This window comes from Homo sapiens, chromosome 3 (assembly GCF_000001405.40).
Source record: "Homo sapiens chromosome 3, GRCh38.p14 Primary Assembly".
Lineage (NCBI taxonomy): Eukaryota > Metazoa > Chordata > Mammalia > Primates > Hominidae > Homo > Homo sapiens.
This window is the reverse complement of record NC_000003.12, coordinates 31,791,932-31,809,621: the sequence shown is the minus strand read 5'-3', so window position 1 is coordinate 31,809,621 and position 17,690 is coordinate 31,791,932. Positions and strand designations below refer to the sequence as shown.

The 17,690-nt window shown below is 43.1% G+C and overlaps 1 protein-coding gene and 1 pseudogene across 16 annotated transcripts in view; one reads left to right on the top strand and one right to left on the bottom strand.

Moving 5' to 3' along the window:
- OSBPL10 (oxysterol binding protein like 10) overlaps nucleotides 1-17,690 on the top strand; it is a 416,868-nt gene that overhangs the window by 268,071 nt on the left and 131,107 nt on the right. Inside the window, exon 1 of one of the 16 annotated variants that reach the window (XM_017005670.3) lies at nucleotides 10,225-11,867. The exons of the other annotated variants lie outside the window; for them this stretch is intronic. Coding sequence (XP_016861159.1) covers nucleotides 11,793-11,867 — 75 coding nt within the window. The 5' untranslated portion in view covers nucleotides 10,225-11,792. Of the gene's footprint in view, nucleotides 1-10,224; nucleotides 11,868-17,690 lie in introns of those variants that run through there. 16 annotated transcript variants of the gene reach the window in all.
- On the bottom strand, nucleotides 13,322-14,178 carry ZNF587P1 (zinc finger protein 587 pseudogene 1; annotated as a pseudogene).

Here is a 17,690-nt window from a genome sequence, read left to right as displayed (position 1 = left end):
AGTCACACTTCGTTTCAACTATTCCACAAGAACTTCAGACTCAGCATGTCTAGCTTTTAAAACCTCCGTGTCCACCACCACCCTACTGGCACTTTTATTCGGAGTGCATTAAATTTATACATTATTTAAGGACTGACATCTGAATGATATACTTTCTAAGAATAGGGGCATAGTTATCCAGCTGAAGTGTTTGTTTGTGTTCCTCAGGAGCATTTTAAAGTTTGTGGATCCTACATGTTCCTTTTAATTGCCAAGTATTTTATCCCCTTTTGTTGCTGTTGCAAATGAGACTTTTTCCATTACATGTTCTACTTGATTGGGCGACTTGTAAATAGGGAGGCTATTACTTCCTGTGGATTGCATGTATTCCCCCAAATCTAAATATATTCTTTTATTGTTTGTTGTAGTTTTGCTGATGATTTTCTTGGGCTTTCCAGGAATAAACTCATCCGTTGCGAATATTGATCATTTTGCCTCCTCTTTTTAGTTTATCAAATTTCTCTTAATAATTTTGTTGGCTAGTATGTCTAAAATAATTCTAAATAGTAGTGGCGGTTGTGATTATTCTTGGCTTAGTCTTACTTTTGCTGAAAATGCTTTGTTTACCTTAAGCATGGAGTACATATGGATGTATGTGTTTATATATTACAGGTATATTACTTGATTAAGAGTTTTACGAAGTCCAGAAGAGGTATTAATTGATTCCTTTGATAAATATTATTGCATGTGTATGATATTCTGGGCAAGATTCCAGTTCTGGGAGTACAGTGGGAAATGAAACAGAGACAAAGCCTTTGCTGTTGAAAAGTTTAAATTCTAGTGGAACAGACAGGAACAGAAATCAAATGATTAATAAATGTCAGGTTTTATGAAGTAAAGCGAAGAGAGGGATACAGAATAATGTGATGAATTTAGTTAGGAATATCGGAAAGGAATGTAGAATTGTTTTCAAGTGCCTTTTAATTATTCTATTTTCTTTCTATTTAATTTGAAATTTGGAATACAGTAGCTTTTTTCAGAACCCTCTCTCCCAGCCCCAGGCTCCTGCATTTCCCCCAGCCTGGGGACTTCAGAGCAAGCCTAGTGATTGATTTGCCCTCTCAGTCCACTGGTTGGTATTTGCTTGTTCTCATATTATTTCCAGGACACTGATTGTTTAAGAAATGAACTGAATTTGTTAGACAGCAGGGTAATTTATCACCTTGGATAGAGATACTGTTGCCAAGGCAACTGGCTACATTTGGGGACCTCAGTCTCCCAACATGACACCTGACAAGACCTCAGTGTCAGTGTGAGCCTTTCCTGGCCATCACCTCTCCTTGCCTTGCCCCAGGCCTGGATGGTCACTGTGAAATGCCTGCGCTTGCCTCGTCCTTTCTCCCCCTTTCCCTCCAACCTCCTGTCAAACCTGCTGGGATGACAGGAGTAAAATGGGGATGATCTTAGTCTTGATGATATGCTGGGTGAGTACAGAATTGTGGCTCTTTGCTCTCCAAGGTACCTGATTCCAGGTAACTGATTCTGGGTGAAACTCAGGGTCATTGTAGCTAGCTGCTCAGTTACAAAATCGGGATAGAAGTAGTGTCTGTGGCACGTTCTTCATGTTATATCACTCTTTTCCCCTGAATTCTCTGTTATTCTTTATACATAAGTTGAAGTTATTAATAAGTCATTATATCATGGCCCAACATCTGTCCAATTCTTAAAACACTTTCCTATTTGTAAGTAATTTCTTATTTCTTATGTGTAGTCTTCAGTGCCTCTTCCTTTCCTAGAGGAGTTTGGTTCTAAATTTGGCCACATCATGTCTTGTTACCTCTACCTTCATTGTTCTGCTCCATAACACCATGATCTTACCTTTGTTTAAAAGAAAAATTCTTTTTAGAGATGGGGTCTTGCTCAGTCATCCAGACTGGAGTGCCGTGGCCCAATCATAGCTCACTGCAGCCTCGAACTTCTGGACTCAAGTGATCCTCCCACCTCAGCCTCCTAAGTAGTTGGGACCACAGGCACGTGCCACCGTGCCCCGCTAATTTTTTTTTTTTTTTTGTAGAGATGTGGTCTTGAACTCAAATGATAAACCAGCCTTGGCCTCCCAAAGTGCTAGGATTACAGGCATGAGCCACCATGCCATGCCCTCATCTTGCATTTTAGCAGTCTCTACTTGTGCCCTTGACACCCACCATATATCCTCCAACACAGCATGCAGAGTGAATCTTATTTATTTATTTATTTATTTATTTATTTTTCTGAGACAGTCTTGCTCTGTCGCCCAGGCTGGAGTGTAGTGGCACGATCTCTGCTCACTGCAGCCTACACCTCCTGGGTTCAAGCAATTCCCAGCCTCCCGACTAGCTGGGATTACAGGTGTGCAACACGACGCCTGGCTAATTTTTGTATTTTCAGTAGAGACAGGGTTTCACCATGTTGACCAGGCTGGTCTAAAACTCCTGACCTCAAGTGAGCCACCCGCCTTGGCCTCCCAAAGTGCTGGGATTATAGGCGTGAGCCACCGTGGCTGGCCAGGAGTGAATCTTTTAATGGACATGTCAGATCATGTAGCTGTTAAAAAGCTCCAGTGGATTCCCATTGTACCTATAGTAAAATCCTAAATCCTGTCTGTGGCCTGGGCTGTCCATGACCAGGTCCCTGGCTATGTTTCTAACCTTATTTCTCAGAATCCTCCCTCCCAGACCCCTGTTTCCTGGGTTCTAGTTCCCCAGGCTGGATAGGAGGTCTGCTGTTCCTAGAACATGCCAAGACACTCCCACTTGAAGGCCATTGCACTCACCGTTCCCTGCATATCCACCCACATGGCTCCCCCCACCCCCCAACTTCCTCTAGACCTCTGTCCAAATGCCTCCTCCTCACACAGGTCTTTCCAAACTACTCTTTGTAAAGCAGCACCCCCTGCCCCATCACTCTCTATGCCCTTGCCTTGCTTTATTTTTTCAACAGCGCTTGTTACTGCCTGACTGCCTGACATTGTATTATGTCTTTATTTGCTCATTGCCTGTGTCCCACACTAGGACGTAAAGCTTCACAGGGAGCAGGTACTTGCTCTGCTTTTCTAACTGCGGGTACAAAGCGGAAGCTCAATAGATATGTATCAAAAGAAGGAATGACCCTTGCACTTACTGTTTGGCTCTCAGCTAAAAGAAGGTAAGTAAGTGCAAGACCATGAAGAATGGCCATCTAGACTTTTATCGTTGATGCATTTGAGTTCTTTTCAGTCTTCCAGGAAGAGATTCTTTTTGGGGAGTGCAGTGGCGAGGAAGTCTTGTCTGTGAACATTTGTTGGTCAAGTAGGAAAATGGTGATTTGGACACAAGTCCCTGACTTCAACTTCTGGCAAAGCCAGGAGGTATGGGGCTGGGACTTCTGCCAGAGGCTGCTGGGAGGGCTGAGGGAACAAGGGCGTAGGCTCTCGGGTCCTCCTTCCCTGCATCCATCATTCTTGGAGGGGAGGTAAGTGGTGTGACGGCATGATAGGTGGAGGCTAAGCATCCAGGGCCTGTAACCAGACTGCCAGAGTTCAATTCCTGGCCTGCCCTTGATCAGCTGAGTGACACTGGGCAAGTTACCTCACAAGATACCTATGAAGAGTGCTTTAGACTCTGCAAATGTACATGCAGATAGTGACAGTGTTGCTTCTTAAGTTCATTTTGAAAATTAGTAGAGAAAGACAAGTGTAGAGCTTAGAACAGTGCCAGGTACTTAATAAGTTGTCAGCAACTATTAAACCCTGCTACCATCGTCATCGTTATTGTAAGCTTGCAAGTCTTCTTGGGGAAGAGCTGTTCTTCCCTTCTTGTTGGGTTATCTTGTGAGGCCTGCCTGAGCCTATGGACCTCAAAGATACTTTTGTGAAAGGAAGATACTTTTTTGTCTACTAAATGAGGCAGGTTGTGATGGCTGAGCATTCAGCGCCTACCATCAGATTGTGGAAGATTGCTCTTTATTTGCTATTTTAAGGTGCTTTGTATTTTGTGTGGATCATTTCACTTTATGTCTTACCTATGAGAGCAAGAATGCTCAATTTGTTAGTAGTGCGTGCTTAGAAGAGAAAACCCATTTACTAGTCATTTCAAATTATTTTGCTAAAACCACGTATAGCCAAACATTTGCGTGAAGGGAGAATGTGGAATACCAGGCAATTCATAGTTGCATTGACTAGTTTTCTTTCAGCTCATAATAAAAGCCATCTTCTGTTTGAAGCCCCATGAGCTTCTGGAAGGGCACTGTGGATGAGAGCATGGGAATGCAGTAGAGAGAGATACGACTATATTTAGTCATTCTTTGAGACCAGCATTTCTGGTAATAGGTGCAAGGACCTGGTGTGAGGAGAGAGCATTGCAAATTCTCAGAAAGGGTTAACATATGTAATGTGTTGACAGGTTGTGAATTTTGTTTTAAAGGTTCATCTCAAAGGAGGAGTCAGAAATACCTTCCGTGAAAAAGCTTGCATGGTTCATTTTTAAAGAAACTGCAAACTCATACCAGTTCATTTAAAGTGTAATCAAGACAAAGTCTTGAAGCTCAGCATGCTCAGATACATCAGACCCTGAGCACCTTTTACATTAAAATAATAATTACGAATTTTGTCAATGATTTTGAAAACCATAGGGAAAGCCAGGTGTAATAGTGAGAATATAAAACATGCTCCCTTGGAGACAGTGTTGTTTGTTTGAATTAAAATCATTCCCACCAAACAGACACACAAAGTAAGGACCTTGACCATTTAAACAGCTAAAAAAAAATTGCAAACCAAAGCAGATTTAGTAGTTGGGAAAGTGAATGAAGTCTTATTAAAGTTGAGTAACTTCTGAAAAAGCTTAATTTTAAAAGCTTCATTTAGATCACGAATGCTGCTGTTTATTGCTGTTGGCAGTCAGCACTTCGTGTTTTGGTAAAATTACATCTTGTCCTCATGAAGCGCGTTTGGTAGGCGCTGTTACGTTATGGCCACTGTGGGATGGGGAGCTCTACCTTTAATGGTGCTTGTCTGGGAAGATGGCCAGTAATTTTGGACTAAGTAACTTTGGTTGTTAAAATGAAGGGCTTCAGATATTTTTCTCTCCCCTTCTGTCCTAATACGGGTCTCCTTCATTGTTAGATCACATTCTGCTTTTTTGCTGATTGATGATGACATCAGTTTGTTTACCCTAGAGGCTGGGTCATTTGCTTACTTGTAAGTCAGTGGAACTGGCTTTTGCATCTTTGCTACTGACTAGCTGAGTGCCCTCAAGCAGGGTTTTTTAACCTCTCCTTGCCTCGTTTTTCTAATCTGTAAAACGGAGATAATATCAGAATTATTATCAGGATTAAAAATCTGTGATGTTGATAGTATTGGATTTCAACCCTTAGAATAACATAAATATACATGATTCGTGTTGATATAAATAATAGGATGAACAAATACATGGGGTGGGGTGAGTAAAAGCTCTTCCTTAAAATAGACTTCTAACTAATAAATGTAGAATAATGAGGGAAATGAAAGATCACCATTGAGCAAACATCATAGTAATGATTGTTGCAGGTCAGAACCATTGATGTACACTAATGTTAGGTGAAACTATGATGAAAAACAGGATATGTGAATAGTCTCAAAGTATCTCCCTGTAGAATACTTATTTTTTTACAAAGAGAAAACAGTTATTTTACAGAGGAGAAAACTAGTGGACACCACCGCAACCAAGTGATCATGGTTAATACCACCAGTAATAAAGACATAAAAACATGTACCACCAAATATGATGCATTGAGAAGGTACAACATCACCTCTGTGTTATTCTTACCAAAAGTGCACATGACCCCAATCTAGGAAATACTAGGGACATTTTGAAAATAACTGGCTTGGACTTTTAAAAAGTATGATAGATTAAAGGAGATATAATAGTCAAATGCAACATGGGATCCCGGTTTGGATCTTGGACCAGAAAAAAAAGCTATTAGTGGGAAAACTGAAAACAAGGTCTGTAGATTGAGGTAGTTGTATTTTGTCCATATAAATTTCTTCATTTGAATAACTACTTTTATGTAAGATGTTAACCTTAGGGGAAGTTGCGCAAAGGGTATACAAAAATGCCATATGATTTTTGCAACATCTCTGTAAGTCCAAAATTATTTTAAAGTAAAATGTTTTGAAATACCCATCATACATGTGAGGTACTTTTGGTTTGAAGGAAGATGGTTATAAACGTCCCTGGTTCTGCCAGGGACTTAGAGGGGCTTTGAAGCATGTGAGAAGGTGCTCTTTTGTTCTGTCACGGTGCTATAGACTTGGCAGTCTTATCCCCTGAAGGCTGGATATCACTGTTCCTCCCTAGAAGACCTTAGCCTCTTCAGCTGACCTCAGGCCAGCGCCTCTCTGGGGAGAAGGGGGGCTGTAACTAGTCATTGGCCTGGTAGAGCTTTGCTTGGCATGTGGAAGTGGAACCATCAGAAGCCACTTTCTTGTTGCCTTCTTCTTTTGAAAAGGTCACGTCTGGGTGGAGCCGATGTTACACACTGTTCTCATTGATTCACAAAAAATTATTCAGGGGATTCTCACTGAATCATGTGTGATTTTAGAAAAGCCACTTTGTAGACTAGAACAGTATATTAGTTCAGCTCAGACTTAGATGCTGTAAAAAAAAAAAAAAAAAAAAAAAGGACCCAATACCATTGTCTAAATAAGGTACAAGTTTGTTATTCCCTTGTAGATGGACCAGAGGTGACCAACTAGAGCTGACTGGGTGGCTCTTTGATCACTGGCACAAGCTTCCATCCTGGGTCAACCCTGGCTATCCAGTTGTCACCTTTTTCCAAGTAGTGGGAAAAGAGGAAGAAAGAGGAATGTACTCTTGTTTTTAATGGATTTCACTTTTATTCAGGATCCGTTTGCAGGAACTTGGCCGCTTGGTCACGCCTCTAAGTGCAAGTGAGGCTAGGCAACAAAATGCCCTACTAAGAGCTGGAGGCAGGCCGGAATTGTTGAAAAGAAGGGGAATTAATACCAGGAGAGAGAGAGGAGTCTTCCACTGTCTTGGTACAATCCAGAGAATTCTCTTTTTTTTTTTTTTTTTTTTTTGATACCCAGGCTAGAGTGCAGTGGCGCATGATCTTGGCTCACTGCAACCTCCACCTCCTGGGTTCAAGTGATTCTCCTGCCTCAGCCTCCTAAGTTCCTGGGATTACAGGTGCCCGCCACCATGCCTGGCTAATTTTTGTAATTTTTTTTTTTTAGTAGAGATGGGGTTTCACCATGTTGCCCAGGCTGGTCTTGAACTCCTGACCTCAGATGATCTGTCCGCCTTGGCCTCCCAAAGTGCTGGGATTACAGGTGTGAGTCACCATGCCCAGCCCCAGAGAATTCTTTACAGAGCAGCTTGAGAAATGTTTTCCATACCTTCAACCCTGCCCCTTGTTACCTGTTAAGAAATAAGGGCTTAGTTCTTACGGCCGGGTGCAGTGGCTCATGACTGTAATTCCAGCATTTTGGGAGGCCGAGGCGGGCGGACTGGGTGCAGTGGCTCGTGCCTGTAATCCCAGCACTTTGGGAGGCCGAGGCGGACGGATCACCTGAGGTCGGGAGTTCGAGACCAGCCTGACCAATATGGAGAAACCCCATCTCTACTAAAAATACAAAATTAGCCGGGCATGGTGGCACATGCCTATAATCCCAGCTACTCAGGAGGCTGAGGCAGGAGAATTTGCTTGAATCCTGGAGGCAGAGGTTGTGGTGAGCTGAGATCGTGCCATTGCACTTCAGCCTGGGCAACAAGAGCAAAACTCCATCTTAAAAAAAAAAACAACAAAAAAAGAAAGAAATCAGGTCTTAGTTCTTATAAGCAGAGAGGTGATAGTCTGACCATAACCTCATGGCATAAGAAGTTGATATAGACCTCCTAGCACAGCATACTGTTGAAGGCATTCGTGGCTTCTTTCTTTCCTTGCAATGGACACAGGTCCTGCTTGCTCCTGGAGTGTAACCTTTCAGGACACGGACCTACATCTTTTGTCTGCAGTGTGAACACGGTCACAGCTAGAGATTTGGTTCCTGCAGGGATAGACCTCAGGGGCCTGGGCCTGCTGTGGGAGGCCTCTGCTCAGAAATTGGCCTCTGTTTCACCCACACTCACAGTAAATGCTCAGAAGCCACTGCAGTTAGTTTTGTGCCTGGTAAACAGGCAGGTGAGAAGCCAGAGTCTTAGGGCTGTTGGGGCAAGGGTTACAGGAGGTTATAACCCACTCTGTCAGATTGAGCCAAGGGAGACTTTTCCCGTCTAGTCATTCCTTCCTCTGCATGTGTGGTGTTGGCAGTAGCTATCTGTCTCTGTAGGGAACTTCCCCAACTCCAAAGACTTGGGGACCACAATAGTATGTCACCATATCATGGAGATGTCCATGCAGTTCTGTGTGGCCCAGTTTATTTCTGCCTAAAGAAAGAGTCTTTATCCCATGCTCCTGAAAAGTTGTTGGTTCTTGTACCTGACAGTCAGTATCCAGGGACTTGTGAGCAAGTCCAGGTGGCTGAATCCTAGTCCAGGTGGCTGGATCCTAAGTCTCCCCGTCCCTCTGTTGGAGAACCTATGGTGATGTCAGTAGCCTTATCTTTATGTATTAAAAAAAAAAGACCACTTAAAAGGTTAACTTTTTTTGGTCAAGGGGATCGTAAAGGATTATTTTGTAGCTGAATTAAAATCTAGGAAGATTAATAAAACCTGAAACACAGTCCCTATTTTAGGCTTACTTCAGAAAAACCTCCTAGAGCAAGCCAAAAGGCATGAAAAACTGCATTATTCTGATGACATTTTTCTTCTGATAGACTTATATAATTTCTGTGTCTCCTTAGCTGTTGTCAGCATGGTTTTCTTTTCAAAATAAAATTTAAGTATGTACCATAAGTTTTTATAGCATATTGAATTTCATGGTTTGGCTATTTTAACTTGACCCACCCATGTGGTTCATTAAAAGTCTTTCCTTGCTGTAGCCTTGGGTAGTTTCATGGTGATTGTTTATTCGTATAAGCATTTTGCCTACTCATTTGCTTTCAGTGAGAGAGTGTGGTTTTGATAATGGGAAAGGAAATGCTCCTTAGGTTGAGTGTTTAGCCTTAGTTGGCGACCCAAAGGTTTACGTTCTTATTAGCATGCCCAGGAGGGGTGGGAACGCCTGCCATGTTTGATGGCCCATCATGCCAGGGCCAGGCTGGTGTTTGTGCTGGGCCCAACTGCTTGCCGAGAATTATCATTAGTACTTTTTCTCTGTTCTCCCAGAGATGGTTTTCAGTTCTGTTTGGGTGTGATCACAGATAATGAAGTGAAATGCGGCTTCCTTGTCATGAACCACCATCATGCTCATTTACTGACTTGAAATAATATTGAGATCTCAATATGGAAAGGACAGCGGAGGAGGTGGGAAGACATTCCATTTTAGAAACATCTGTGGCTTATACAAGAGAAGGCACAACAACTAGGCCACTTCATCAATGTGATTCAAGTTAATGTGAGAAGTTGGACCATTGCTAAGACCATTTTCTGCCCAAAACTTCCTGCCTTTTTACCTTTCACTAAACAGAACCTTTGACCCAAATACAACCCAGGCAGAGGTTATTTAAAAATGCACTTTGGGGCCGGGCGTGGTGGCTCATGCCTGTAATCCCAGCACTCTGGGAGGCCAAGGTGGGCGGATCATGAGGTCAGGAGTTCGAGACCAGCCTGGCCAATATTGGTGAAATACCATCTCTACTGAAAATACAAAAATTAGCCGGGTATGGTGGTGGGCGCCTGTAGTCCCAGCTCAGGAGGCTGAGGCAGAAGAATTGGAAAATTTGTTAAGAGGGTTGATCTCATGTTAGTAATTACTTACCATAATTACTTAAAAAGCACTGTTTGCTTGTAAGTTTCTGGTACTGCTGCTTACGATTTTTGTGATTTGAAGCAAATAGGTTAAGTTCCTTGAGGCTTTATTTTCTTATTTGTTAAAGGAGGTTAATAAATGTTTTCAGCTATCATTTCTTGAGTGCTTATAATGTACCAGGGACTGTGACTAATTCATCTTCACCAACACCTCCATGAGCTATGCCCTATTACAATAATTATTTTACAAACGAGGCACTAGAGGCTAAGAGAGGTTAAATAACTTGCCCAAAGTCAGGTAGATAATGTGGAGCTGATATTCAAACCAGCTGATTGACTTCTAAGCTGATATTCTTGTTCTTTCTTTCTTCCATTTTTTTTTTTTTTTTTTTTTTTTTTTAAAGAGATAGGGGTCTTGCTATGTTGCTCAGTCTGGTCTTGAACTCCTGGCCTCATGTGATCCTCTCGCCCTGGCTTCTCAAGTAGCTGGGGTGACAAGCCTGTACCATCACGCTACTCTTAACTGTGACTATGCTTGATTACTCTGTTTGGTCTTGGCATATCTGAAAATAAGACCCAGAGAGGGAAAATGCTTGGCAGACATACCCCACAAGAAGAATCACCTGAGTTATAGTTCTGGAAGGGTCTTATGTGTAAAAGACCTGCTGACATATGTATACCTTGAGGTAGGGATTCCCAATCCCCAGGTGGTGGACCTGTACTAACCCATGGACTGTTAGGAACTGGGCGGCATAGCAGGAGGTGAGCGGTGAATCAGCAGTACTGCCTGAGCTCCACCGCCTGTCAGATCAGCAGCATTAGATTCTCATAGGAGTTCAAACCCTATTATGAACTGCGCCTGGGAGGGATCTAGGTTGCATGCTCCTTAATTGTCTTCCACAAAACTGGTCACTGGTGCCAAAAAGATTGGGGATTGCTGCTTTAGGGTGACAGTTTTCTGCAATTCAGATACAAGCTCTTTGTATACAGGACTTGAAGAAGCCTGTTTTCCACCATGAAATAAAACAGGACCTAGGTGGGGTTTCTTTAACAGTTTACTTAGTTGGCACTAAGTATGGCATTAGGCAAAAGGCAGGGGAAGGTAGATTATGTTGGCATGGTCCAACAGAAATATAATGTAAGCCACATATGTAATTAAAAATTTCCTACTAGTCATGTTAAAAGTAAGAAACAGGTAAAATTAATTTTAATAATATATTTTATTTAACTCATATCCAAAATATTATAGTTTCATCATATGATTAATATTAAAAAAATGTAATATTTTATGTATTTTTTCATATTAAGTCTTTGAAACTCCACATGCATTTTGGTTTTCTTTTTTTTTTGAGATGGAGTTTTGCTCTTGTCACCCAGGCTGAAGTGCAATGGTGTGATCTCGGCTCACTGCAACCTCTGCCTCCCAGGTTCAAATGATTCTCCTGCCTCGGCTTCCTGAGTAGCTGGGATTACAGGCACCTGCCACCACGCCCAGCTAATTTTTATGTTTTTACTAGAGACGGGGTTTCATCATGTTGGCCAGCTGGTCTCAAACTCCTGACCTCAGGTGATCCACCTGCCTCGGCCTCCCAAAGTGCTGGGATTACAGGTGTGAGCCACTGCGCCTGGCCTCCATGTGCATTTGATGCATACTGCATGCATTTCCAGTGGGACTAGCTATGTTAAATGTGCCCAGTAGCTATGTATGGCTGGAGGCTATCATATTGGATAGTCTATTAGTAGAAAAATATATTAAGACAGCCTTGCAGATAGCTCCTTATGCCCGGACCCAGAGTTTGGAACGATATATATAAAAATAATTATTATTGTTTCAGTTAACAACAGGGACTGTAAATGTAGTGGGTTCCAGGTTGAGAGTGCTAGAAAGAACCATAGCTATTTTATCTAACATTCACCCCCCCATCCCCATTTTTATAGGTGAAGGCTTGTATGCTCAACAACATGTGTGAGGTCACACAGAGAGTCATTGGCATCGTCAAGACTCAAACCCAGTTGATCTTTCTGGTACATTGTATTGTGGACATGGCAAAAAGTGACTGTGACTTATATCATGGTACATATAAAAAAACTGTGTGTGTATTTTAATGTACCCTCTTTTATGTGGAAAAATAGCTGTGACCTTTTGCAGGGTTCACAGAAATTGTAGTTTGGAGGGATGGAAATATCCTCTGAGATCACCTGATTCAGCTTCATTTTTCTCTCCTGGGCCCTTAGGCTCAGGGAGGTTAAACGGTTTGCATGAGGCGATTGCATTGGGTCTCCTGCCTTGCCGCCATTGCTTCACCATGATACTAGGATGATGATCATTGGAATCAGTGACTGTAAAACATCACAGAGCAAAGGTGGGAGATTCCATCTAAGAGCCAAGAATTAGTTTAGTATCTTACCTTTCTTTTCTTTTCTTTTTTCTTACCTTTCTTTTTGAATACTCAACTTGAGTTTCCTCCTGGCCCTTAAATCATTTGTGGCCAGGCGCAGTGGCTCACGCCTGTAATCCTAGCACTTCGGGAGGCCGAAGAGGCCGGATCACGAGGTCAGGAGATCGAGACCATCCTGACCCAACATGGTAAAACCCGTCTCTACTAAAGATACAAAAATTAGCTGGGCGTCGTGGCGCATGCCTGTAATCCCAGCTACTCGAGAGGCTGAGGCAGGAGAATCACTTGAACCCGGGAGAAAGAGTTTGCAGTGAGCCAAGATGGCGCCATTGCACTCCAGCCTGGCAACAGAGCAAGCCTCTGTCTCAAAAAAAAAAAAAAAAAAAATTAATAAAAATTAATAAAATAAAAATCATTTGTAAGGTTCATCAGTCTCTCTTGAAGGAACCTGTATGAGAATGGGAGAAAATGTTTGGGGTAGAGAGAAGTGAGGAGAGGGGAGGAAAGGTGTCTATTACTGCTTGAAAGATCCTGAATGAAGTTGACACTTCCTGTGTGGGGAAGCCTAAGGTAAAAGCCCTCATTGGGTGTGTACCTATACCAGGAGAGTAATCTACTGTAAGAAATCACTTAGAGCAGTGGTTGTCAAACCCAGGGCATTTGATAATGTCTGAAGACATCTGCTAATTGACTTCTAGTGGTAGAGGCCGTGGATGCTGCTAAAATAGCCTGAAACACACAGGACCCTCCACCCCCACAACCACCAAGTTATCTGACCTAAAATGTCAGTAGAGTTGATGTTGAGAATCCTGACTTATAGAGGAAAGGGGCAAAATATATATTCAATTGTCCCTTGGTATCCACAGGGGATTGGTTCTAGGACCCACTTCAGATACCAAAATCCATGGATGCTCAAGTCCCTTACATAAAATGGCATAGTACTGGCACATAACCTATGTACATCCTCCCGTATGCTCTAAATCATCTCTAGATTACCTTTTTTGGGGGGGCGGGGCAAGGAATTTCTAAAATTTATTTCACTAATAGGGATTTTCTATAGGAGAACCATCTGATTTTCTAACAGCAGTATTTCAGGTAAATATCTTTCCACATTTGCTGTACTCTTAAAGCCTTTCTCCAGTGTGAACTCTCCTGTGTCAAATGAGACTGGAGTTACAGCAAAGGACTTCCCACATTCCTTGCACTCATAAGGCCTTTCTACTGTGAGTTCTTCGATGCTGAAGGAGAGAATGGCTTCAGCTAATTTTTACCACATTCCTTGCACTGATCTCCAGGATGAACTCATGTGTTTCTTGAGACTGGAGCTTTCAGCAAAGGATTTCCCACATTCAGTGCGCTCATAAGGCTTTTACCCAGTGTGAATTCTTGTATGAACACGAAGTGCAGAGCTGTAAGAAAATGATTTCCCATGTTCATTGCATTCATATGGCCCTTCTCCAGTGTGAACCCTCTGATGCACAGTAACATGCTCCTTCTGGCTAAGTAATTTCCCACATACCTCACACTCATATGGCCTTTCTCCAGTGTGAACTCTCTCAGGTAGAAGGAAGTGAGACTTCTTGTAAAATAATTTCCCACATTCCCCACAACTATAAGGTCTTTCTCCAGTATGAAGTTTCTGGTGATCAGTGAGGAGGTGAGACCTGTTCCTAAAAGATTTCCCTCATTTCCTGCGCTCATAAGGCCTTTCTCCAGTGTGACCTCGTTGGTGTTGAATGAGGTTGCCCTTTTGTCTAAAACATTTCCCACATTGTCCACACTCATAAGATCTTTTTCCAGTGTGAATTCACTGATGATTACTGAAGGTATTACATTTGCTAAAGGATTTCCCACATTCACTGCACACGTAACATCCTTCTCTAGTGAAAAGCTTCTGGTGGAACAAGTGAGTGAGTAGTGCCGAAAGGTTTTGTGGGCCAGACACGGTGGCTCATGCCTGTAATCCCAGCAACTTTGGGAGGCTGAGGTGGGCGGATCACCTGAGGTCAGGATTTCAAGAGCAGCCTGGCCAACGTGGTGAAACCCCATCTCTACTAAAAATGCAAAAATTAGCCAGGCCTGGTGGCAGGCGCCTGTGATCCCAGCCACTCAGGAGGCTGAGGCAGGAGAATCGCTTCAACCCGGGAGGCGGAGTTTGCAGTGAGCTGAAATGGTGCCACTGCACTCCAGCCTGGGCAACAGAGTGAGACTCTGTCTCCAAAAAAAAAAAAAAAAAAAAAAAAAAAGGTTTTATGAATTCTTCGCAGCTGTAATGAGTCTTTCCCTCATGAAAGGGTGGGCCATGCTTAGTTTCAGTGTTTGTCTTCTCTACATTGTGAGTAGCCTCTTGCTGGTGTAATCCCAAGCTGGGCAAGAAGTTCTTCCCAACCTCATAAGAGATAAATGGCTCCTGTGACACATGGACTTTACAGCTGTTTACAAATGACACTTCTCTGGCACCCCTTCTCTCGAGTTTCTCTCCAATGTGCTGCTTCTGGTGCTGATGAAGGTTTTCAGTGTCATCCAGTTTTTTCCCACATGCCCCACTCCTGTTCAGTTTCTGCTTGTGATGAGTTTCCTGCTGCTGTGCCAAGTGAAAAATGTCTCCCAAGATGGGGCTACACATTTCACAGGGGTGAGCCTTCTTGGGAGACCCCCCTGCCCTCAGAGTCCTGACCTGAGACTCTCTTTGTATAGAAATGCTCTGCTTATATGGTGCCTCTTCATCTTTCACTCCACACCAACAACCCAGGGAAGATAAAAGTGCCAGGTTCTTCAGCATCACGTCACAGTACAGGCATCTCTGAACCTCACTAAGGAGACTCCATTTCTTCTGGGAAAAGTTCACAGCCATGTCTGCAAGGGTCACAGTGCCCTGCTGAGCTAGGAGCCTCAGCACAACCATGGCCATTCAACTATGTGAGGAAGGCCGGGAGCGGTGGCTCACGGCTGTAATCCCAGCACTTCAGGAGGCAGAGGCAGGTGGATCGCCTGCGGTGTCAGAGGTGAGGTGGATTGCCTGAGCCCGGCCAGCAGGGTGAAACCCCATCTCTACTAAAAATACAAAAATTACCTGGGTGTGGTGGCGTGCGCCTGTAATCCCAGCTGCTCGGGAAGCTGAGGCAGGAGAATTGCTTGAACCCAGGAGGTAGAGGTTACAGTGAGGTGAGATTGTGCCATTGCACTCCAACCTGGACAACAAGAGCAAGACTCTGTCTCAAAACAAACAGAAAAACTATGTGGGGAAAGTGGGGTCGGGAGCTGCAGGTGCCATCACGAGGCTGAAGACCTGCTTCTGTGCAGCAGGGGCAAGTCCCCTCCACCTTCTGAGTTCAGCCACCACTGTGCCAACCCAGCGCCCTGGGGCCTCTCAAACCACAAAGACACTCGACACCAACCAACATGGCTGCTACTCTCATCTCTAGATTACTTCTAAAGCCTAATACAATGTCAATGACATGTGAAGAGTTGTTATTCTGTATTTTAATTGTCATTTGTTGTTTTTTACTGTTTTTCTTCAAATATTTTTCATCTGAGGTTGTTTGAACCTATAGATGTGGAGTTCACAGATAAGAAGGGCCAACTGTATATCTAAACTCTCTATAGTCAAAAAACCACTTTTTAAATTCTAGTTTTTAAAAAATTCACACTATTGTTTCTCATGAGTCCAAATTTAATTACAGTTGCTTTTTCACTTGGAAAACTTAGAGAGTCTTCCTAATTCCATGTTATTTTGTAAACCAGAGGTGCTTTTTAAGACCTTGAGAGAGAACAGTCACATTTGTTGAGCTCATCTTGTTTCAAGAAGGTGAATGTGTATTTTGTGCTTAGTTTTGGATTTCTTAGCATAATTTCCATCCTCCTTAAACCTACACAGCATTGAAGGCCATCAGCCTGGTAAATAAGCAGTGAGTGGTTACATTATCAGACACTTACTGCTAATTAAATTTTATCTAAATTTAGATTTTTAAAAGCCCTCCATATGTTTTAATTTTCAGCATAAATTATTTATGCTAGGAGGTCATACAAACGGGTGCTTGATTGTGGTCCTGAAAACTTCAACAGAGTTGAGGGAAGCTGCAGTGGCTGACTGCTTTTGCTCTTGCAGCTATTTTAGGCAGAAAGAAAATGACAGGCGCGCTTTCCCAGTCTGGCTGGGAGTTCACAGGAGGTGTCAGTGCCATCAGGAGAAGGAGGCAGGATATGAAAGAGACAGAAAGAATTAGAAAAATATTTCTGCCCTCTTTGGTTGGTTCGTGAATATAAAAGGCTGTGGGAAATAGTGGAACTGGGGAAATGGGCTAAATTAATAGATATTTTTTCTGTTACCTTTGAGACTACAATAAAGGGAGATGAAAACTTGTTTCATGCTTAGCTTCCAGGATATCCAAATGATGTGCATCCTCAGGGCCAAGTCAGACCCTGGTACTTCCAGAAACATCCAGTATGTCTGGATAGCTGAGCATCTACAACACACACACACACACACACACACACACACACACACACACACACACACAGAGTGCCTAGATAGCTGAGAGTGCAAAACGCACCCCCACACACCAACTCACCCACCCAGTGTGTCTGGATAACTGAGAATTTTTACACACACACACACACACACACACACACACACACACTCTGTGTCTGGATAGCTGAGAGTGTAAAACACACACACCCCTGCACACCCCCACAACACCAACTGTCACACACACACCACACACACACAGTGTGTCTGGATAGCTGACAGCGTAAAACATACACACCCCAGCACACACCCTCATACACCAATCACCCACCCAGTGTGTCTGGATAACTGAGAATTTTAACCACCACCCCCCTCCGCCCCGCTGCAACAAAACAGAAACGCTGCTATGGTTTGTCATTTTTAGGTAACTAGGAGCCTTTTAATTGTCGCCAATGTTGAGAGTGGGAGAGGGGGAACCATTTTGCAACCTGTTTAAAATGGGGTGTTTGAGAGCTGCCCTCAACTTTGAAAACTTGGAAAAGCTTTTTTACAACTCGATAATTATTTTTCTCTTCCTGAATGTTTTTGAAAGTTACACGTAATGTCTGATTGCTTGAAAGCTCAAGGAATGTTCTTTGACTTGCCAGATTATTACGACTTGCTCATTTTTATCATTTTTTTTTTTTTGGAGACAGGGTCTCTGTTGCCCAGGCTGGAGTGCAGTGGTGTGATTACAGCTCACCGCAGCCTCAATTGCGTGAGCTCGAGTGATTTACTAAGCTCAGTGTCACGAGTAGCTGGGACCGCAGATGTGCGCCACCACACCTGGCTAATTTTTTTTGTCTTGCTATGTTGCCCAGGCTAGCCTCAAACTCCTGGGCTCAAGTGATCCTCCCACCTCGGCCTCCCAAAGTGTTGGGACTACAGGTGTGAACCACCGCATCCAGCTTTGTCTTGCTCGTTTCAAAATCCCTCACAGCA